The 24,661-nt window shown below is 40.5% G+C and overlaps 1 protein-coding gene across 54 annotated transcripts in view; it reads left to right on the forward strand.

Moving 5' to 3' along the window:
- ERC1 (ELKS/RAB6-interacting/CAST family member 1) overlaps window positions 1-24,661 on the forward strand; it is a 505,975-nt gene that overhangs the window by 377,515 nt on the left and 103,799 nt on the right. For all 54 annotated transcript variants that reach the window (NR_027948.3, NR_027946.3, NR_027949.3 and 51 more), the window contains one exon: window positions 4,360-4,504. Coding sequence is in view for 50 of the 54 variants with exons in the window: in XM_047428566.1 (XP_047284522.1) it covers window positions 4,360-4,504 (145 nt within the window). In the remaining 4 variants the exon portion in view is untranslated. The remainder of the gene's footprint in view (window positions 1-4,359; window positions 4,505-24,661) is intronic.

A 24,661-nucleotide genomic window follows, 5' to 3' on the forward strand; every position in this document is an offset into this window, starting at 1 on the left:
TGTTAAACACACACACATACTTAGGACTCATTCAGATTTTTAACCACCATATCACAACGCTAATTACGGTCTCTTATTTACTAGCAATAGAAGTCTAATGTTGTGGCGTTCTCAAGGATTCAGGAATGTTATTCAAAAGCATTTTGAGCTCCATTTGCCTTTGATGTTTGCCTCCAGTTTCTGAAATTTGCCCAGATGGGGGAAGGGGATAGAGGGGGTGGTCTTACTATTTCCTGAAGCACAAATGCCGCAGCAGAGCCCTTTTAGGGACATCTTGATTCTATTAGAATTTGCAGGTCAAAGGGCAGGTTCAACTGGCCTGGTAGTTTAAAGCACCAGGGATAGAGTGAATAGACTACTGTAATGACTTAAAGTTGGATTTCTGCTGCTACCTACTCATTATGCTAATAATGTGCATGTTGGTCATGTGGGCGGGGGGATTACTAATACTTTGAAAGGTTTCGTGTCCACATTTTCCTTTTTTTTTTTTTTTTTTTTTTAACTCTGGAAAAGAAGGGAACAGAACAAGGAGAGTAATTTGACAGGAAAAGCATTGCAGTTCTTATTTTGCCCTGGGCTTGTGGCATACATATATTACCGTTCACATTTTATGTGCTTGTATTACTCCCTAGGGACTCATGGGAATGAAGTCAGAATGTGCTACACTAGCAAGCCTCCCCTTTCTGTGGATAGTCTTTAGTTCGTAAAGCTCTTAAAGTCGATGATTAATTCCTTTGAGGTTCAATTTCTTTAAAATATTTATATCAGTATTAGAATAGGTGATCTCAAACCATTGACTCAGATTAAAAGAAGTTATAAAAAAGAATTACTTCTGGTAATTTTTATTTTCTTTATACTTTTCTGTATCTTTCAGTTTTTCTTCAATGACTGTGTACTACTTTTATCAGAAAATACTTTTTTTCAAAGAAGCAATTATATTGAGTAGACAGCTATTAAAATAAAATTTTTTCAATTTGCTTTTTTTTCCACTGTGAATTCCATTCCCTCTGAAAAGCTGAGTGTTTTTAACAACATTTCTGAGTTTAGACACTCTCAAGTGTGCCATGTAAAACTTAATCAGGTAAGTCCGACTATACCATATGGTCCTTTCTAAGAGATGGATTAGAGGAACAGCAATTTTCGTATTCCCTAAAAGTCTTTGCTGTTACTGTCTACTAGCTTTCACATTCTTCCCTATCCTCCAAATTTTTTTCAAGAGGTTGTTCTCCCTCATACTATCCACTTCAAATTTACCAGAATTGTAACCAAGAGAACAATACTGTCTTTGTCCCTTTTGGAAAATAAAAGAAAAACCTAAAAGCTAGTATACCTATCAAAGATAGACATTACTCAGAATTCATATGATTATATGTGCAATATATAATCAAAACATTTTATTCTCTTGACTATGAATTGCCCTTCTTAGGCACCTATACATGTAGAAATCAGTGTCAGGAGTATACGTTGTAAATGGAAAGCAGAAAGACATGATGATCTGTTAGGGGATTTTTAGAGGATGAGAGCCATGGTCATAGGAGAGAAAGTTTGATTCTGTATAGTCCATAGCATATTATCATTGCTTAGTAAAAAAAATAGCATCAATGAAATAAAATCTCTATTTGAATTGCATAAAAAATACTTCAAATTATATATCTTGTTAAAAAGACACTATTCCAATGGCTCAGACTCCAATGCCACATTCCTCAAAACTTTGAAATTAGAAATCTAAGTTGTCATCTGTTATTTCATATTGTGATTTGCAAAGTTGACATTTTACCCCAGAGGTGAACTGTACCACACTAGCTGTCCAAGCATACCATTTATGAAAGAGTTTGGAATTCAGTCAAGAAGCTTCAACAATATGGAATTATTTTTACTATGTCATATTACAATATTTTCCTTAAGCACAAAATAGGCCTCAAGTCTGATCGCCTTTGTATTTTGCATTCAGCAAAGGTGCTGGTATTTCAATCTAATTAGGTAGAGTAACTTATCTGTCATTCACCTGCTGCTGCTTGCCTGCTACTAAATATGTGATTCTGACTATTGGTGCACAGAAATGTAGCACCCTTATTGGGAAAGCATGCTGCCTCTTCCAGCTTGGTCAGTCTTTGAGCTTCCCGAAAGGGAACAGATGACCGCAGTCAACAGGAAACTGCATAGTTAGACCTTCTTGAACTCTTTCACCTTTAAGCTCATTTCACCACTTAACATATTTTTTTCAAGTGGTCAGTGGATATATTTAGACTGTCATTATCCCTTTAGTGTTGACTGGATCCTCGTGGTATAAGTTGCCTGCCATTTCTTAGAATTACGTAGTGTGGGGACAGTGCGATGAGAATCTTCTCTCCTCTTCCAGCAGCAAAACTAGTGAAACAAATCTTTATTTCCATGATGTAAACCGAGTACACATCTTCTATTTGTTAGTATTGCTTTCAGAGTTGAGTAGACCTACACATCCAGAATAAAAAATATCCATTAGAATATTCAGTAGACAGATAGTCTTCCAGTCTGTGGCTAAACTAAAACTCTTCCATATGACTGCTGTTGAAGCTCAATTATCTTAACAAAAGACAGAAGCAAGGTTAAACTTGGGCAATGCATTCTCAGATTCAGCATTTCCTCAGGTCAAAAGCTCAGGCCACTTATATAGTTCCTATAAATCAAATATGTCTTCTTTCATAAAAGATGAGCTACTGAGAAATGCATTTTGGATTATGAAACTAATTGTTCACCAACTCCATTGTGATTATTTTGTAAATTTCTTACATCAGCTTCCCCACTAAATCCACCTTTTTTTCCTTTGGACACAAACCATAAAGTAATTATTAGCTAAACCACAAGGAATCTGTAAAGTTTAAATTACTGTTTCAAAGTGTGCAGATCATTGCCAGTAAAGCCACAACTGCAAACTTATTTGCATTCATGAGATGAAAAGAATGATTGATGTTCATAATGCACCAGGAATAGATGGCTGTGTTTCTATATCCACGTTATTAAAGTCTGCAGTTTGTTGTACACTGTATGCATGAAAATGTCTTCAGTGTCAGTAATGCCTCAGATCATCTGGAAGCTACAGAATAATTATCAAAGGAATAAATTAAATGGATAAAGTATGTAAGTTACAGGATTATTCTTAAAGTAACTGTTTACTTTTCAAATTCAACTACAACTATAGGAACTCTTTTTAAAATATAAAATGAAATACTAAGTTCTTACTAATATAGTTTTTTTTAAAAGGTTAACAATTTTTATTTATTCTTTTTGAGATAGGGTCTCACTTTGTCACCCATGCTGGAGTGCAGTGGCACCATCTCAGCTCACTGCAACCCCACCTCCCAGGCTCAAGAGATCCTCCTACCTTAGTCTCCCGAGTAGTGAGTAGCTGGGACCAGAAGCGTGTGCCACCGCACCCAGCTAATTTTTGTATGGTTTTGCCATGTTGCCCAGGCTGGTCTCAAATTCCTGGCCTCAAGTGATCCACCCACCTCAGCCTCCCAAAGTGCTGGGATTACAGGCGCGAGCCACCACGCCTGGCCTGAATATTTTTTAAACTTTATTTTATTGTAGTAAGAAGACAACACGGGATCTACCCTCTTAATCACTTAAGTGTACAATGTAGTATCATTAATTGTAGAGAGAATGTCATACAGCAGATCTCTAGAACTTACTCATCTTACGTAACTTAGGCTTTATGCCCACTGATGGGAACTCCCCATTTCCCCCTCTCTCCTCTGCCTTGCAACCACCATTCTACTCTCTGTTTGCGTGAGTTTGACTGTTTTAGATCCCTCATGTAAATGGAATCGTGCAGTATTTGTCCTTCTGTGACTGGCTTATTTCACTTAGCCTAATATAGGGGAACTTATTAAGATAACAACATGATAAAGACAATTTAGAGTCACATTCGCCTGAATGGGATTCCTGGCTGTACCATTTACTCCAGGTGTGAACTTGGGCAAGCTGTGTAAACTCTGAAAGTCTTGGTTTTATTACCCTCAAAATGGGGGTACTGATAATAGTAACTTCAAAGAATTGTTGGAAGGGGTGAATGATGCTGTTGGCGTTTGCTTTCTTGGTTTTATTACCCTCAAAATGGCGGTACTGATAATAGTAACTTCAAAGAATTGTTGGAAGGGGTGAATGATGCTGTTGGCGTTTGCTTTCTTGGTTTTATTACCCTCAAAATGGGGGTACTGATAATAGTAACTTCAAAGAATTGTTGGAAGGGGTGAATGGCGCTGTTGGCGTTTGCTTTCTTGGTTTTATTACCCTCAAAATGGGGGTACTGGTAATAGTAACTCCAAAGAATTGTTGGAAGGGGTGAATGGCGCTGTTGGCATTTGCTTTCTTTTGCAGGCAAGAAGCTCTTCTGGCTGCCATTAGTGAAAAAGACGCCAATATAGCTCTCTTGGAGCTTTCGTCCTCTAAGAAGAAGACCCAAGAGGAAGTGGCTGCCCTGAAGCGGGAGAAGGATCGTCTGGTACAGCAGCTTAAGCAGCAGGTATTATTAAATGCCAGCAGGAGGGTCAGTGGGGCCAGCTTTCACACCATTCTCCACACAGGTCTTTGCCAGCTTGTACTTTAAGGTCTCATGTTTCATATTAGACATCTGATCATTGGAGCTAGTTAGTTTCCATCATTAGAGACTTTTTATCTCCGCAAATCTGTGTCTAGGAAATGCAGAGCATTCGTGGTAAGAGGGCTGTTTTGGACAATGTCACAGGTCTTCTATGAGAATGTTTTTTAACTTTGTACAATGGATTGTAGAAATTATTGAAATTAGCCCATTTGACATGAAAAGGCTTTTTTTTTTAAACATCCAGCAAGATTTCTATGACAGCAGCCACTAAGGATATTTTCATGAAAAGATTTCCAGTTATTCAGGATTGGGTAAGCTCTGAAGATAAGAACAAAGGTTGGCCCTTTTCTTTTCCAGCCTAAATGCTCTCAAAATTTAATACTTAATATTCATGTAACACCTTTTGTTTGTGAAAATAAAAGCTAAAAGTTTCCCCTTTGATGATGGTTGCACAACAGTATGAATGTACCTAATACACAAAACCATCAACTTAAAAATCGTTAAAATGGTAACTTTTATGTTAGACATATTTTACCACAATAAAGAAATGGAGAAAAACATTTCCCTTGGAAGATAAGGAGAGTGCTGGATGTTTACATCGGAGCCCTGCTTGAACGGCAGTGCTCCTCGTTGAGTGCTCCTGGCTGGGCGCAGCATCCGCGTCCCAGCCTCCGTGGCTGTCTCCTGCATTCCCAGTCACGTTGTCTGTACATTTTGGCTGCCCAGGTGTGCTCTTTGCCCTCAAGTAATGAGACCGAGAAAGAGCTTTTCAAGTAAAGAAATTTATTTTCTTCTATTTTTGGAGGTCAGTCATCAATTGATGGTATTTTGGCATAATGTTTATATTAACAAGAATCAATATTTAAACAACAAAGTTATTTTCTCTGTGGATCAAATTAAAACTGCTTAGAAATAGTCTTTATATGTATTTATGTTGCACACTTTGCTGAGAAAATACCAAAAGATGTCTTTTTTCTGCAGGATGGATAGTTGACCAGCAAAAAGTAACCCATTGCTTATTCACAAGTGAAATAAAACTTTTCCAGGGTCCTAAAATACTTTTTAGCAAGAAGAGGACATCATCTAATATTTTGACTACCTGTTATGTAAGATAGGAAGAATGTGCTTATTATGAAAGACATCCGTCCAGTAGTTGAAAACTGAAATTTGGCTCATCAAAGCTGATAATAGCAAATTGGAGGATATTATTGGAGAAAGGAGTTCACTGCTGTGGGAGTTTATATATTCAGCAATATCACTTATCTTAAGTAGTTAGGCTTGAATACATAGGCCTATGATTTAAGCAGTTCTTGATCTCTTCACTTAAGACACCAAATAGAATTGAATATCTAGCAGACCAGAATACCATACCTCATTTACAGTGGTTTTTGATTAGTGGCCTCCAAAGAACATATGTTTTCATTATGTGAAAATTAAGGAAATTGGCCGGGCACGGTGGCTCACGCCTGTAATCCCAGCACTTTGGGAGGCCAAGGCGGGTGGATCATGAGGTCAGGAAATCGAGACCATCCTGGCCAACATGGTGAAACCCCGTCTCCACTAAAAATACAAAAATTAGCTGGATGTGGTGGTGCACCTCTGTAGTCCCAGATACTTGGGAGGCTGAGGCAGGAGAATCACTTGAATCCAGGAGGTGGAGCTTGCAGTGAGCTGAGATCACGCCACAGCACTCTAGCCTGACAAGAGGACGAGAGTCCGTCTCAAAAGAAAAAGAAGAAAAGAAAGAAAAGAAAAGGAAATTAATTAATCTCTGAGCTTATAACCTTAGAAGGAAGTAGCTAAACAATTCTCAGTGTCTTTATATCAAACCACATGCCTTGAATTTTCTGTAGCGATGTGTCCTGTATGAAGAGAAAAATAATAACAGTTCTCAGGAGTCCTTCCTACAGTCATCTCCTGCCTCCCTTTTACATTCCTGCCCTTTCAAAGCGTATCTGGATGCTGTGAGCAAGAAGGAAGGAGTCTTGCCAAAGGCATTTGATTCTTTAATTCCTCCAAGAGTGTGTACTAACTTTTGGACAAGGGAGAGGCCTTTTGGAAAGAGGATATGGCATCAATGTTGTTTTAATTTAAAGCTTCTAGTCCATGAATTGCTGGAATGTGCCTCAGTCTAAAGGCTATTTCCTAACAGGGAAGCAGTCAGCATTGACCAGGCTTTCCAGCAAATGGAGCTGCCACTGCCTGATAGGCTCTTGGCGTTCACATGTGATTCCTATTGTCAGAAAGAGGTGAAGCAATGAGGGATATATAGATTTGGGGGTCACCTTCTAATATGGTCCCAATTTACTTACCCCCTCTAACCACCGCCCCCCCACCCCCTACAGGGTAACTTGTCTCCTTGACTCATTCATGGCAAAGCAGCACTTGGAGAGGCTGCATCAGAGGAAGGGGCCAGGGCCAGTGAAAAAAATAAACTAAGGCTGTCTAACAAACTCCAGATGTTCTGTGGTGGGTGCCAGCCAGTGTGTTCAGACCTTAAGTCATGAAGAAGCCCCACTGTGATTGTCAGGCCCCCGCACGAGATTTAATGTAAACTCCGATAGAACCCTGGAAAGCATTAATACAATCTGTTTAGTCACAGCAGTTGTCACAAGATGGCCTTTCTCTCAGCATTGTTTTCTTCTTTTCACCTCCAGAATTTTACAACCTCCGTATTGTGTTGGTTGCTGGTGTGAAATCTGGCTCTGCCCCTGTGTGCTCTACACAGATGTGTTATAGGCAGGCTGGGCTTTTCAGGACAGGCTGGGATTTTTTTTTTTTTTTTTTTTTTCTGTTTTTAAGAGTCAACTATAACAGTATAAAAGTAAAGGCTACAAACTTAAACAGATTTGGTTTGAATCTAGATAATCTCATTTACAACTACAATTTTGTAATCCTGTGCATTAGAATTAATTGTCACACCATATATTCTTTGATTCCAGTGTTTTGTAGGCGTGAGGGATACAAAAGCACAGTGCTCGTCTTAAGGGAACTCACAGGCTAATGCATCAAACCCTGGTTGTTCTAGTCATCTGGCAGACATTCTGTGTGTTAGTCCGCTTCCACACTGCTGTAAAGTACTACCTGAGACTGGGTAATGTAAAGACAAGAGGTTTAGCTGACTCACAGATCCACATGGCTGGGGAGGCCTCGGGAAACTTACAATCATGGCGGAAGGTGAAGGGGAAGCAAGGCACATCTTACATGGTGGCAGGAGAGAGAGCGATCAAGCGAGGAACTGCCACACACTTTTCAACCATCAGATCTTGTGAGAACTCACTATCTTAACAGCAAAGGGGAGGTCTGCCCCCATGATCCAATCACCTCCCACCAGGCCCCTCCCCTGACACATGGGGATTACAATTCGAGGTGAGATTTGGGTGGGGACGCAGAGCCAAATCGTATCACGTTCTGTAGAAGGTAATCCTGGCCTTGCCAACTTTTTCTGCTGACAGCTTTAGCAGGTCATCCAAACATTATGTAACTTATTTACCCATTCACTTCAGATTTACCTCACAGAGTTGGTGTGAAATTCAATAAGATAGCACACCTGAAGCGCTTAGAGTCCCCCCTTCCATTCCCTGTCACTGATAGCCCTGTTCGTGGTCAGAACTGTGCCATAGGTGACACACAGTACATTGAGGGAGGGGTAGTCTCAGTAAGCATGGCTCTTGTTCCTTTTTTTTTTTTTTTTTTTTTTGAGGTGGAGTTTTGCTCTGTTCCCCAGGCTGGAGTGCAGTGGTGCGATCTCGGCTCACTGCAACCTCCACCTCCTAGGTTGAAGCAATTCTCTGCCTCAGCCTCCCGAGTAGCTGGGATTATGGGTGCCCGCCACCGCGCCCGGCTAATTTTTTGTATTTTTAGTAGAGACGGGGTTTCACCAGCTTGGCCAGGCTGATCTTGAGCTCCAGACCTCGTGATCCACCTGTGTTTGCCTCCCAAAGTGCTGGGATTACAGGCGTGAGCCACCGTGCCCGGCCTGGCTCTACTTCTTGGTTGTCTCTAGCCACTTTATTTAAATGTGCAGACTCACGCAGTGTTCAGAATTACACAACCAGCACATGGCGTTCCACTCCTCTGAGGAAGAACGTATTTCTCAGGGCAGTTAGGAAAAAGAGGTAGAGGTACTTTTTATCCTTTCTTTTTTCCACCTGTTCTTTTTAATGATATGACTCTCATATAGAATTTTTAAAAAATAATTCTAAATTCTAATATGTCTTTCTTAAATCTTACATTTTCGTCACTGAAGAACATTTAAATGCCCGTCTGGCTGAAGTCCTCAACATTAGGAAAATGTCAACTCCCAAGCTACATCCCATCTCACTCGCCTTCGAGTTCTGTGATTTTCCACATGTTACCTCCCGTTCTGGGTATCCCCGACTAGTATAACTTTTCAGAATTCTGTGAAAATAGAGCAGTGACAATAATGGCCACCACGTGCCACTTGACTGTCGTGCGCAGGGCACAGGGGCTTTACATCACCGGGTCTTCCCCACAGCTCTGGAGAGTGTCTTCATTATTTGGGGAAGCGCTTCAGACCCAAAAAGGATAAAACTGTGGCTAAATTTCCATGAAGAAGACTAAGCGGTGGAGCTAGAATTAGAACTGATTCTCTTCTCACTGTCACCATCTTTTGTGAAGATTCCAGATGGTTGGTAATCAGATTGTATTAGAATTAGAATAATACAAACAATGCTATTTTATGTTTTTATGATACTCATTTGTTCCCTGAGACACAGAAAAGGGGATCTATTTATACGCCAGCCCTTCCCCTCTCCATCCGTAAAGAACCAGAAACAAAAAAGAAACGGTGCGATTTGTTTCCCTTTTCACTGTTCCAGGCTGAGCATCACCTTTCGGTACACGCGGTCTTTCTCCCGTCATCCCAGCACTACTTCCTTGAGATGAGATGACATCAGGTGATCCCGTTGGTCTTGAGAATGATCCCATATTCTTCAGTCAAGCATTTTCATACAGTAGTTTTCTACTGTGTTATGTGTATTTTACTTGCTTAATCCTCCAAAGACCGCTTTATTTCCCTAATCACTAAGTTCTTGATGGGAAGAGTATTTCACCGTTGCCCCAAGTACTTTCAGTAGGTGTGGTATGAAAAAATACCTGAATCAAGTGAATAATATTTTGAGTAACTGTCTTTTATTAACTTCCGTCCACTCTCTAGTGAACAGTTTTCAGTCTCTCTTGTGGCACTGCCTATGATACCTTTGCTCTTGTTGTTTCATCGGTAAAGCTGAGTACTTTGACATTCACTGATTAGGTTGGGAAAACCAGCCTATGCTTTGAATTGGCCGTTTCTGCAATCTAGCAGACATTCTAGCACACATTCACTCATCTGTGAACCTGCATTTGTACATGCTTTCACACTTCCCCATCCCTATTAGAATGCCAGTTACCATGATAACACGATTCAATGCTCTGTCCACATATCCCACTCAGAAACAATTTGTCCTATAATATGGACTTGCTATCTTTCAATTCATTTATTTAGGGTTATTTTACTCCTTTGTTGTTAGCGAAAAGAAAATGTATATAGGTTAATGCCTTTCTTATTTTGACTTTAACCTTTTTTCTCACATGATGTAGAGCTGGCCATTGGCCCACCTTTAAATGGCTGTATATCATCTATCTTTTCCTCCTCGTGGAAAAGGCTACTGTCTATTATAGAAGCATGGTGTACTAATTATGAAGTTGCGGTTGAAAAGACACTTTATCATCACTCTAGCCACTTGGAACTTTCCAAATAAATCATTATTTGGACTAAAATTTCCCAGTCTTGTTTATAGTACAAAGGTGAATACCTTTTTGAAGGTTCAGTAAACTCTCTTTGTTAGGAACTGAGGGTTATGACAACAATAAAATATCTGTTTCAGCTTTCAGTTTTGGTGGACATGTTCTTTGATCACAGCTTTTATGAGAGAAAATGCAGTTTTATTATTAATTCTTCTCTAGCCAAACTCAAATCATTTTACTGGTTTGAAATGTGTCGTCTTTACCTATCTCAAAGTTTTGAGTAAAGAATATAAATATATTGTTTTGTATATGAAAAATGTGATTTGTTCTCATTTACTAAAATTTGGGAAGAACTGGCTTAACATTGATCTGAAGAATGTAGGGGTCAGATACTTTTTTAAGAAAAGGCTCAAATTTGATTTTCAAATTCTTAGCCCAGGGCCCTGACCGCTCCCCGTTGGAGCAATATTTAGGACCGCCAAGTTGGAGACAGTAAATAATTGATTCTTACATGTCAGACTGATTGTCGGCTCTCTGCAGTATACATGAGTTGTTTTTGAACGAAGCTAAAATCTTGTGAAGACGTACTAATAATCTAATATGAACCCAGTTAGATGAAAATCACCTTTTGGGACTTATTCTGTTCTATGAGAAAAAAATTATACGAAAAATTCTCCTAACTAGCCAAGAAAATAGACCTGTCTGTAGTCTACTTAGTGATTTAAAGCCTTTTCCTTAGACATGAAATCCATGATGGAAGCTTGTTGCCAATAAGAATAATGGAGAATCAACCTTTAAAGCCACATACATGATGTAGAATTTCAAGTTGCCATTATTCTGTATTGTAATGGTCAGCCAGAGAGACATGTGTCTAGTCAGTTTTATTAACTACTTTCTACAGCAGTCCTCCCTTCCTTTTCTCTGTCCTATTTTCTGAACCAACAGAGGACTAAATTTTCTTACGGAGTCAGGAAGTTAAGACTTAAAATTTAAGGAATATGAGGGTAGAGTGTACCTTGTTGACTTACATTATTGCATCTGAACCTTCAGATGACATCCTGAAATAAATTGCATAGTTAGGGTATTTTATACCTATGATTCCCATTAGGGACTTCATGGTTTTGACAAATACACTATCAAAGGGAAGCACATCACAAAGAACACTACTTGCAGGTCAAATATTGACGAATTTAGGGAATATATTGTGTGATATTTTGGTCTAATTTTTCACTTTCAGTTTGTTGCTGTAATACACATAGGGAATTTTTAAAATATATGTATTTTAGATTTATGCTGTATTTGTAAATTCCCATAAATACATAAAAGGACCGTGCTAAGCTGTCTTTGGGGTGGCCACACTAGTGTATTTTCCTCTCACGTTTTACCATAAGCAGCAAGAAGAAACCAGGCCCCCACCTTCAGCACTTTAACTGGAAATCTACTTAGCTAGATCTCTGAGTTCATTCAGTACATTCTCCACTTTCTACACAACTGTAGGTGACATTGTTGCTAAAGTTCTGGTACTGCATATCAAGGATCCCAGTAACAAGTTCCTTGCTTCCCTTGAAGATCCAGTGGCAGCCTCCTAAAAGCCCCTATTTCAGTGAACAGCCAATTCAGGGCACTTGAGGTTTGCACTAGTCTCTCCTCAGAATCTTTCCAGGTCTTCCAGTTTCCGCCCACTACCCAGCTCCAAAGCCACACCGGCGTTTGAAGTTTTTGTTACAGTGTTACCCCATTCCCAGTTATGCCAAAATCTATTAGTTATCTACTACTGCATAAAAATTACCCTTAACTGAGTGGCTTAAAGTAGTAATTATTGTCTCACACAGTGACTGAGGGTCAGGAATTTGCAGGCAGCTTAGCAGGTGGTTCTGACCCGGGGTCCTCTGTAGGGTTACTTAGGACACGAGAGCCAGCTTCTCCAGAAGTGACCCGAGAGAGGAAGAGAGCAACCAAAATGGAATTTGCAGTGTCTTCCATAACTGAATCTCAGAAGTGACATACCATCACTTCTGCCTTATTCTGTTCACACAGACCAACCCTTATATAGTATAGGAGGGGACAGCACAGTGATGCGAATACCTGGAGACAGAGATCCTTGCAAGCCATCCTGAAGGCTGACTACCACAGCAAGTGCATGAATAAACAAATTTGGTATGTCCATGCAGTGAAATGCTGCTCAGCAGTAGACAGAAATGAACTACAAATACACACAACAGGTTGGATGAATCGCAAAGACACACCGAGCAAAAATGGAGACACAGAAAAGTACATACTGTATGATTCCACCATACTATACAGTGTAAGAAAGCAGATCAGACAACAAAGCAGAACTTATTCATCGTTTCTTCCCCTCGTCAGCTCACTTGAGAGGCCTGCAGGGGGAAAGGGACAAGTTCCATTCTCTTTCACTCCTCTGCCTTCTTCATCTTCTGATGCTGCTTCTCTGGCCAACATTGTTTCCTTTGGGGTGGAGCAGCAGCCAAAAGACGCAAACCTGACAGCTTTCTGTAATATCACTTGACCCACAGAAAGCGCATGCATCCTCGCCGTGCCAAACGGTGAGAAATAGGCCGCCTCCGATACTTCTGTTTCCGTCTGCCATCTGTCTCCTTCTCAGATAAGCACAAGGCAAATCAACAAGTCTGATGGAATGAGATGCCAGTCTCCTTGACGTGTACTCACACTCAGTCTTTAGGAGTGGTTCTCTTTGAGCCCTCTCTGTCTTAGCTAAGGCAAAGGGGACTCTTGTGAATGAACACGTAACTCTCCATGTGGCAAGTCCTTCCGGCAGTAGCACTACGCTCACAACAGTCTTAGACAGATGGATGAAGGGCACCTGCTGAGGCAGTGGACTGCTGACAGTAGTGCCTTTTCAGCCACTGGCCACTAAGCTGCCTTTATACATCTTGGTTGCTTAGCTCTTTTTTGTCACCTGCTTTGGGCCTTGGTCACCAATTCTATAACAACTGGAAAAGCCCATTCATCATACTATTAAAACTGTTTTACATTCTAAAAGAAGATAACAATGGTAGGATAAAACAGCAGAGAGCTCCTGAGTTGTTAGTGAATAAAGGGAAAATTAAATAGCAAGTATCGCAGCAGCTTAAGTGCTGCGGAAACTGTGGAAAGTAAAATGTTGTAAACATCTGTTCATCTCACTTAGTTTAAATCCTCGATAATGAGGCCAGCCTCAGAGAGCATTTATGTACCCATTTGTTTTATATATGAATCTGTCATCTATAATGCCAGGTGCCTGTTTTATGACTGAGAAGACATTCCTCAAAACACATCTGTGTTAGGCACTGCCAGGGCCCCTTCACCTTGCCCTTGACGGTGCCTACTTCATATCTGCTGTGCACATCAGCATCAGCCTCCCAGCTGTCCTGCATGATGTTATCTCCTTGATGGTGACTGTTGTTTTATCCTAGAAAATGAAAACTTTGGTTAGAATATTCAGAATTTGACAGAAGAATGCAATTCCGAGAAAAACAGAAGATTACAGTTCAGTCTATAATAATTCAACGGCCCTTATTTTTTTATTTACTGATTTATTTTTAATAAAGACAGAGACTCACTCTGGTGCCCAGGCTGGAGTGCGGTGTGCAGTCATAGCTCCTGGCCTCAAGCCATCCTCCCACCTTGACCTCCCAAAGTGCTGAGATTACACACGTGAGCCACCACAGCCGTCCTCAATGGCCTCTATTGACTAGTTAAGATAAAAATGTTAATCTTTTAAAAATTATTTTACCTCCTTTCAACCCTAAATTTGTGTATATTAAGTACTCAAATATATATACTTCTTCCTCTGAACCATTACAAACACTAAGATCAACTAGATTGTTCCTACTGATGGTATCCAGATTGTTTTGAAAGAAACTAGATGCAAACCCTTTTTCATTCACTGTCCTCACTTCTGGAATTGCCTTGCACTTCCTCAGCTCAATCTCCACTTTAAACTTCTCTTCAAGACTCATCATGATAGGTCGGAATTTCCTAGCCTGAAGTCACTATTTTTCCTTATCGTTAGCAAAGCCATTCTGTGCTTTTTTTCATTCACGTATTCATTTTCCCTTGGCTTAAGTTGAACAAATGAGAAGAAAGGAGGGAGGGAGGGAGCAGAGAGAAAGAGAAAGAAACTTTTCACTTGGACTAGAGTTGTTAATTGTATTTATTCTTTATGTTAAGCCAGGTTATTCTTGTTGGTGTGATTATTTGTTCAAATCTAAGAATTCCCGTTCTATAACCATTCCTGTCTTGTTTTCCTGTTTGTATGTATAGCGTGGTACAATAGAAATAGTAACTGAGTGTCAGGAGACCTGAGCTCTAGATCCAACTCTGTTGATAAATAAGTATATAATCTTGAACGTAATAACACCATCAACGAATATCAAACACTTCACATTTTACAAAGTACTATTCAGATACTTAATAGCGCCTAACCCTAGGGCTGTATGGGCGAAGCAGATCTCATAAATAAAAGGAGTGAGTGGTTTAAAGCCACAGCAGAAAAAGAACTGTGAGAAAGTAGGGGCCACATGGTGTTGTCTACAGAGGCAGGCACTTCTAACTCCAGCTCTCGTGACCATGTCAGATGCGAGCCCTGTGTTATTCAGGCATCCATGTTTCCCTGGAGAATTCAGATTTTTATACAAATCTCTTTATGTCTAAGTGTTGGCAGCTAATGTGTTTTTTATTTTTATATAAATCAGTCCACAAGGCTGATTTAATTGTGTTTGTTTTAACACAAATAAGGCCACAGGCTGCCTGACTTGCCTCTTCGGGCTTTATCTTCCTCACCTATAATATTGGGTGGATAGATCAAATGATTTTAAAGTCTAAAATTCATTATTTTCTGTATTTTGATAAATCAACATATTTACCTGTAGCTGTATCGTCTGCTAAAGGCTGACATTAAGAGTTTAAAAAGAAGCAAATCAAAAAGCATAAGAAAACGTGTGTAAAGATTGTTTAACTCTGTCTATAGAAATTTGCTTTTTTTATGAAAGTATTATTTTATTAAAAAATATTGCATTATGAAGATGAAAAAATCTTGGTTTTTTTGAATCCTTCAAAGAAATAGATCATATTTTGATGAATTCTGCTTGATTGGAGTTACTAATAAGTAGAAAGTCCAGAGGCTGGGAATGTGGGGAAACCTGGACTCATCCCAGGCTCCTTTCATCCATCTGTTGCATTTTTTTGTCGTCATTTCCAGATGTAGGAAAATCCCTCACAACAATTTGATAAGACTCTTCCCTTCATTTCCAGCATCAAATCTAACTTGCCTTTCCTATCGTCAAACTGCTGCCTTTTATGATGCCACAGGGAATTAATTTATAAATCTTCTGTGTTTCCTGATCCCTCTTGAATTGTCTCAACGCAGATAAATCAACCTAGGTTTCCTGCCCATACGCTGGTGCCCTCCTCTCCCTGTTTCTTCTGTGTCCATCAGGTGGTGTGATTTATAGCTGCCTTTCCTATGCTCATTGACCTTGGTCTGAGGATCTCATTAAGCATATGTAAAACTAGAAAGATTAGTTTGAGGGTCGTTCCCTCCTCCGTTAAACTTCTCTTGGTGGGAACCAGTCAGACCAATATATTCCAAAAATCTGTTCCTGCTGCCTCTTTTGGTCTCTTTTGAACTAATGTAGATACTCATTAAAAGCAAATGTGAATTAGACAAGTGTGGTGGCATGCGCCTGTAATCTCAGCTACTCAGGAGGCTGAGGCAGGAGAATCACTTGAACCTGGGAGGCGGAGGTTGCAGTGAGGCAAGATCACACCACTGCACTCCAGCCTGGGTGACAAAACAAGACTCTGTCACACACACACAAAAAAAGCGAATGTGGAATTAAATGATATTTGCATTCAAGGATAATAGGAGTGGTGTTAAACTAGAATATTAGCTGTCACTGAGTGCCGTTTTCAGAAGCTGTAATTTACATGACCAAATGTATTATCACATGACTTTCTGGAAAACAGTATTCACGCCATTAGTCATCTCAAGAAAATACTGTTTAACGTTTAGGCAGCTGAGCCCTATTTTGAGTTCTTTATGTGAATTAATTCATTTAATCATCACTACAGCCCTCAGAAGTGGAGTTATCCTCATTTTACAGAGAGGGAAAGAGGTTAAGTAACTTGCCCTAAGTCCCGTAGCTCATAAGTGGCTGAGCCAGGGCAGGATTCAGAGCCGATCATATCACTCCAGAGCTGACACTCCTGATCACTACACCAAAATGTGTTACCATCATTACAGCATGTGCTTTTGGTGAGAGATTTCAATAGCCTTCAGCCATATTATTAATAACCCCATCATACTCTGTTGTAATAAATAGTACTTTAATCTACCCTTATAAATTACAGTGAAAATATATACATTACTGTAAAGGACTGCCCCCAATTTTAAAAAATTAATTCAGAATCCTGACAGGTCAAACTGCTTTCTAAATCTTGTATTAAAAAGATGTCTTCTAATTTTAACAATTACCTTATAAATAGTTGACTGGATTAATGAACAGCTGTACAGCAGAGGAGAGGGTAAAATGATAAGCTGATTTTTAAGCAGCTAAGTTCGAAAATCTGTGTGCTCATAACCCTAAATTACCATTGGAAATAATTTTGTTATTAAAATACTATTACTGTCATGTATACATAGACAAGATGTATGCAAATCTGGTTCCAAAGTATTGCACAGCATTTATTAAGATAGTGTTTAGCCACCAGCATTTTTTTTAATTTTAAGAATCAATTAATTTGCATACTTAACAGCTCATAGAGATGAGTGATTGGAAAGCTGCTGAAAAGTTCATAGAAAATAGTGACTGTTGAAGAAAGAACATCTATCATACCTGAAGTTCAGTATTTTCCCCCTATATTTCAAAAGTTTTATGAAATATAAGAATTTAAATAAATAAATTGTTGAGCTTTAATACTAAAACAGTATTTGTGGTAGTTGGTTTTCAGGGTAGAGATGCTTAAAGTTTATGGTATTGCCAGCCTTGTTCCTGAATGGAGCATTTAGAATTGGATATGATGTTTTTCTTGGTCTCCCAGAAAATTACAACCTACTAATGGTTAAATCTAAAATTATGGGTTCTCAGAAAATAATTTGGAACATGTACAGTCTGGGCCTACCTAACTTTTAACAAGCTGATTCATTAGAAATATACAAAGAGATTGAATGGATATTACTGTGTTTAAATCTACATATGCACTTTACGAGTACACCCAAAGTGCACACCTGGAAACAAACACCAAACTGTCTCCTGAGACCCAGGTTATAAAACACGCTTAGAGAAGCCTGGTTGGTTCTCAGTCATTGGCCTGAAGCCAGTGAAAGGACACAGTTGCATCATATTCCCCTAGTCTACAGTGTTTAACATTTCTTAATTTCAATTTCTGCTAAATGAAAGATTCTTATAAATCAAGTTTTCTTTTCCTAACAAGTTTCCTCGCAATTACCTTCCTATCTTTTTTTTTTCTTTTTTTGAGACGGAGTCTCGCTCTGTCGCCCAGGCTGGAGTGCAGTGGTGTGATCACGGCTCACTGCAAGCTCCGCCTCCCGGGTTCACGCCATTCTCCTGCCTCAGCCTCCCGAGTAGCTGGGACTACAGGCGCCCGCCACCACGCCCTGCTAATTTTCTTGTATTTTTAGTAGAGACGGGGGTTTCACCGTGTTAGCCAGGATGGTCTCGATCTCCTGACCTCGTGATAACGCCCGCCTCAGCCTCCCAAAGTGCTGGGATTCCAGGCGTGAGCCACCGCGCCCGGCCCCTATCTATCTTATTATTGAGAAACAATAGCCAGGAAGAACAGAAGGAAACCTGTTTTTAAGGCTGGTTCTAGTTGAGCTAATTGCTATCTAGAGCTCTCTTTGTATTTAGACATCAAGACAACAGTCACAGCAATGTTCCCTAAGCCCGCATTGTCCTCCTGAATGGTAGATGAAATTACCAGCACCTGACTTGCAGCTCTTCTTATGGCTGTGCACTGAAGTAACTATTTCTCTTAATACATATTTTAACAATCTCAGATGAGACTAAGTGGGTCTCTTACTTTTGTGTCGTCTAGTAAGGAGCCATAACTGAAATATCCTCCTTTTTATTACCATAATGATATAACTATAGGAAAAGAAAAAACATGAGCCATGATTGACAGAAATTACTCTCCTTGTCAGAGATCATTTCCTCTGTTGCTTAAAGCTTCTTGCAATGCAGCCCTTTTTTTTTTTTTTTTTTTTTTTTTTGAGACAGAGTCTTGCTCTTTCGACCAAGCTGGAGTGCAGTGGCACGAGCTTAGCTCACTGCAACCTCCGCTTCCTGGGTTCAAGCGATTCTCCTGCCTCAGCCTCCCGAGTAGCTGGGACTATAGGTGCCTGCCACCATGCCCAGCTATTTTTGTATTTTTAGTAGAGACAGGGTTTCACCATATTGGCCAGGCTGGTCTCGAACTCCTGACATTGTGATCTGCCCACCTCAGCCTCCCAAAGTGTTGGGATTACAGGCGCAAACCACTGTGCCCGGTCACAAAAAAAATTTTAATTGAAATGCATGCAGCCAGGCATGGTGGCTTATACCTGTAATCCCAGCACTTTGGGACGCCAAGGCAGGCAGATCACTTGAGGTCAAGAGTTTGAGACCAGCCTGGCCAACATGGTGAAACCCCGTCTCTACTAAAAATACAAAAATTAGCCAGCCATGGTGGTGCACACCTGTAATCCCAGCTACTCCAGAGGCTGAGGTGGGAGGATCGCTTGGATCCAGGAGGCAGAGGTTGCAGTGAGCCAAGATTGCACCACTGCACTCCATCCAGCCTGGGCAACAGAGCAAGACTTCGTCTCAAAAAAAAAAAAAACATTAAAAAGTACACATGTCTAAGTATACATGTCAGTGAAATTTTACACACTTATGTAACCAGCATCTACATCCAGGAAGCAGATGATTGCCGACACCCCAGCAACCAGTTCTCACACTCCGTTTTCAGGTACCATCCCCTGCCTATTCCTGCAGGAGTAACTGCTCTACTGAATTCTGACAGTATTGATTAATTGTATCTTAAAAAATCAAAACTTAAAGATTTTCTGTCAACAGAGCAACCAGGGACCCAGAGGCAGAAGCCAGGGGAGCCACCACAGGCAGAGGGCACAGCCTTGAGTCAGAGGATTGTTCTCAGACCTTGAAACCTAATGGAATTTTCTCTGCTGGATTTCAGACTTGCTTGGGGCTGATGAGCCCTTTTTTTCTTCCAGTTTTTCCCTTTTGGAATGAGAATGTCTATCATATACTGGTCCCACCGTTGTATTTTGGAACCTGATAACTTGTTTTCTGTTTCGCATATTGACAGATGGAGAAGATGGATCATACTTAGTCTCCCTCATACCCAACTCAGATTAATTAGATGAGGAGATTTGGGACTTTCAAGTGATGCTGTTTAGATGGAATTTTGGATTTAGAGTTGTGCCATAGTGGGTTAAGATTTTTGGGGATACTGGAATGGGGTGAACCTATGTTGTGTATGGGACAGATAAGAATTTGGTGGGACTAGAAGGCAGGCTGTAGTAGATGGAATGCCCCCCAAAACATATGCCCTCCCCAAACTTATAGCCCCCAAAAAACATTATGTCCACGTCCAGTTTCTATAACCTGTAAATGAAACCATATTTGGATAAAGGGTCTTTGCAGATGGGATTAAATTAAGGATTTCAAGAAGAGATCATTCTTGATTATCCAGGTGGGGCCCTAACCCTAATGACAAGTCCTTGTGAGAGACAGAGAGAAGACAGATACAGAAGATAAGGTGATATAAAGGCAGAGGCAGAGATTAGACTGGGTGGCTATGAACCAAGAAATGTCCACAGTCACTGAAGCCAAAAGAGGCAAGGAAGGATGCTCCCTTAGCATCTCCACAGGGAACATGGCCCTGCCAACACCATACTTTTGGACTTGGGGCCGCTAGAACTGTGAGAGAGTAAATTTATGTTGTGTTTATGTTGTTTGTGATCATTTCTTACGGCAGCTCCAGGAAACTAACACATGGAGTAGGTAACACAGCTTCTCGAGTCCTTCATGTATGACAAGCTTGTTGCCCCTGAAGGTATTAGGGTTCCCCTTTATTTGAAGGAGAAAGGTGAATACATTATCTCTGCTTAATCACTAGCATTTGTTGATATATGCAAAGAAGACATTCTTAAGACAGCCTCGGGGCAGAAGAGGTCAAATAATATTTTTGGAGAAAGGAGAATACTAAGAGACTAATAAGAGTTAGCCTCGGCCGGGCGTGGTGGCTCACGCTTGTAATCCCAGCACTTTGGGAGGCCGAGGCGGGCGGATCAGGAGGTCAGAAGATCGAGACCACGGTGAAACCCTGTCTCTGTTAAAAATACAAAAAATTAGCCAGGCGTGGTGGTGGGCACCTGTAGTCCCAGCTACTCGGAGAGGCTGAGGCAGGAGAATGGTGTGAACCCGGGAGGCGGAGCTTGCAGTGAACTGAGATTGCGCCACCGCACTCCAGCCTGGGTGACAGAGACTCTGTCTCAAAAAAAAAAAAAAAAAAAAAAATTAGCCTCATGAATGAGCTAGAAAAGGAGCTCTTAGGCAGAGGGATCATTGTGGCCAGGGTTGCTGAAGCATGAAGCATCCTGAGATCAGGGAGCCATAGAAGGCTTCTTATTACCAAGTCTGCACTACTCCTGGGCAGTGACGTGAGACTCCAGAGCCAGGAGGAGACAGGTCACGGAGAGCCCTGGATTGACAATGCTGAGAGTAGCTTGGACTTGCTCCTGTAGGGGATGCCAAGCCATGGAGAGGCTTTTAGTCTCACCGATGTTTTCAGAGTTTTCTTTTATAGATAAATCAATCACTCTGGCAGCTAATGGAGGAAGTTAAGGGGAGCCTGGAGTAAGAAGATGGTAAGATTAAAAACAGGGAGACTGTTTAAGAATCTATTCCAGTTGCCCAAATATGAAATGATGAGGACAAGAATATAGGGTAGTTGAGATGGAGTAATGTATTCACTAGGCCATTCTGTGTATCAAACACCACCTAATCTTAGTGCCTTAACACAGTAAACGCTTATTTCTTGGTTACACAAAGTCCACCGCAGATCTTGCCGGCTCTATGAGGAAGCTGCCCTCCATGCAGCAATTCAGTAATCCAATTCTACTAAAAATTTCCTCCTTTAGCTCTTTCAGTATGAGGCCTTCTTGGTCACTGTGGCAAAGGAACAAGTAATTGGTGGTTCCCGTGCTGTTTCTTCTATGCTTGGGTCCCACGGTCACTACCCACAGACCACTGGCCAGTCAGATGTCTGGTCTGGCCAAGTAAGTGGAAGTGGTCTCCCTAATTAAAATGAGTAATCAAGAAGAAAGGCCATATATGGAAGAGAATATAACATGCTTATTTTTAGTAGAGTTGAATTCGAGGTTATTTATACCCAAATAGATACATCAAGAAAGCCGTTGGCTGGAGATGCTCCAGGTAAAGATGAGAGCTAGAAATGATAATTTTGGAGTCATCAGAACAGAAATACTACTTAAACCCATGAAAATGGAATAGCTTGCTTAAGAGAGAATATAGGCAAGTTATACTTACTTTTTACTGTTTTCTGACACATACTAAAATATTAACACAGGCCATTCTTTTCATCCTTACAGATTATAGTTCAATGAGCATATGCCCTCTGTAAGCCTGTTGGTAATGGATTTCAGAATTGGCTCTACTGGATATGCATTGCTAGGAGTTTTTATGCAGTTCTAGGGTTTTTAAGACCTTTTTTTCATGTCTTACATGTGTTGAAAATGCTTTAAGCATTTATGGCACAATATATCACAGGTGATTGTGATCTTATATACCCCATAGCCATTTTGCTGATTTGATATATAAATTAATAAAGCTCTGTTCCTGGAAATGAGGATAATGCTACATGAATACTCCAAAGAGTTAACATAAATGTAGTCTTGAAAAGCACTCCCTCAAGAAAAGAATTCTGTCCAAATCCTATTAATTCCCGGGTATTTTGCCTATTTTCCTTAAAAGCACCTTACATTAAAAAATCTGTTTTGCATTCAGTCTCTAAGCAAAAATATGTAGTGCCTTTAAAGAAACAACAACAAAAAAACCCTTGAGTAGGTTAATCTCTCCATTTTAAGTTACACACTTATTTCATGAACTAATCAAACTTGTCGTTAAGGCTTCATTAATTTCCTCTCCACTCATGGGGTGGGATGGTTGAATCATAGCGGGGCTGTGTGTGTCTGGAAGTGACCTTTGTATATTTGGGTGGTAAATTATACTTCAAAATACCAGTAGACATTTTATTAAAATTTTTATTTTCTTTGGTAGATTATTTCCTTCTAATTATAGTAGTAAACACTGGTATGTTATGATTAGTGATTAGCTTATAACAAACATCTAAACAGGGATAAGTCAGCCTGTTTAGCGATAAACCTGTCTCTTGATATATTTAGAACTGATCACTAGCCAGTATGGCTCCATATATTTCTAGGACAGTGTAACCCACAGTGACATAAATTAAAATTTTAAAAAAATCAAGGATACAGTAAATACCAACTGTCTATTAATATTGATTAATAAATCAATACATTTAAAAAATAATAAAGTTTAATTTTTCAAATTGATAAAAGTAAAAATTACTAAATTGATACATTACTGAGTTAATAAAATTAACATTTACTACTATTAATCTAAATGGGAAGGTGAAACATGGGACAAAGAATGAATTTTTCTGAACCTAAAAACTGGAAGGAAAGTCAAAAGTACTTACCAGAGCATGCTTAGGATGCCCAAAGGTACTGTCAGTTCATCTCCCGGAGGTGGGGTTAGTTTAGTCACCACCAAAATAAAACTGTGGTCAAACCATGAATTTTGGAGTATTAAATGAACCCAGTTGTGGATTCACTATGGTCAAATTACTACAAGAACTGGGACTGGAATAGGTTGCCCTGCCCTAGAAGTTTCCTAGTTGATTGAGTTGAGGTCTGATTAAGTTGAGGTCACTTCCAGACACACACAGTCGCACTCTGATTCAACCATCCCACTCCAGGAATGGAGAGGAAATTAATGAAGCCTTACTGACAAGTTTGATGAGGGAGGGAGCAGCTATGTTGGCATGTCTTCTAAGAGCTGTTTCTGACTTCTGGTGCCCAGCAGTAGTCCAGCTATGGTAGCTGATCAGTTGCTGCCTAATTACCTAATCCTATTGGCAAGATGAATGTTTCAGTTCGCTGCTGTGCCTTTAATCATAATTGTCTTTTATTCATTCAGTTTGAGGTCTTCCTGGTTCTTGGGATGTTGAGTGATTCTCAGTTGAAACCTGGACATGTTGGATGTTATGCGATATGACTCTGGGTCTTACTTAGACTTCTGTTTTAGCTGGTTTTCTTTGACACCACTCCAGCAGGGGAAGAATGGGGTGCTGCCTCAGTATTGCCCAGTGGAGGTAGAAGTCCAGTTTCTCCCACTTGGACCCTGCTGACACTCAAGGGGTGGAGGCTTCTTGTTACTCCTAGGTGGAGATGGGTATTCATGTCCCCACTAGGCTTCACTGGTGTATCCCTGCCTGGTTAGGGTAGGAAGGCCTCCACTAACACAGTGGGGGTGAAGGAAGGGGGGCCTGGTTACTGCTGTGCGGTAGTGAAGGTCCGACTCCACCAGGAGACACGGCTGTTACTGCTCCATGGAGGTGGAATTCTAGAATCCTCACCTAGTCTCTAGTGACACTGTGGAGGGGAGACTTCATTGCTGATGGTTGGAGATTATAGCCCTGCCTCCCTCGGCTTTCCCTGACACCTTCCAGTGGAGCAAGGAGAGGCTGAAGCACCTCCTCACAACCTGGTGAGCATGGGGCCCGCCGCTTGGTCTTTACTGACATGAGTGACAGTGGGACCACATGGTCTTTGGAATAGAGTGATTGTTGTCCCACAGGTTTCTATGTTGCTAGGCTGTCCCTTTCCTTTGGAGGCTTCTTTGGCTAGAGAGAGTGGGCTCCTGTTGAAGCTTTTTTGGTCTGTGCCTGTTGGCATTTCCTGGTTGTTGGCTTCTTCAGCTCTACCTCTGGATATATAAGGCAGAAAGATCCAGGGAGCTGCAGGTCACAGCACTCCTGACTGGTCTGCCTTCTCTCTGCCTTTTTAGTGTTTGTCTGTGTGTATAGTTCTTGTTGTACTTTTATACTTAGTGTGCTGGAGAAAAAAAAATATTCCTGATACTTCTTAAAGACAGTAAGGCAGACTATTCAGGGGACCACTGAGATGAGGATTTGTGTTAGAGGGCAGAGATTGGGCTCAACTCAGAATACACAAGGACC

The sequence above is a fragment of the Homo sapiens genome, chromosome 12 (genome assembly GCF_000001405.40).
Source record: "Homo sapiens chromosome 12, GRCh38.p14 Primary Assembly".
NCBI lineage: Eukaryota > Metazoa > Chordata > Mammalia > Primates > Hominidae > Homo > Homo sapiens.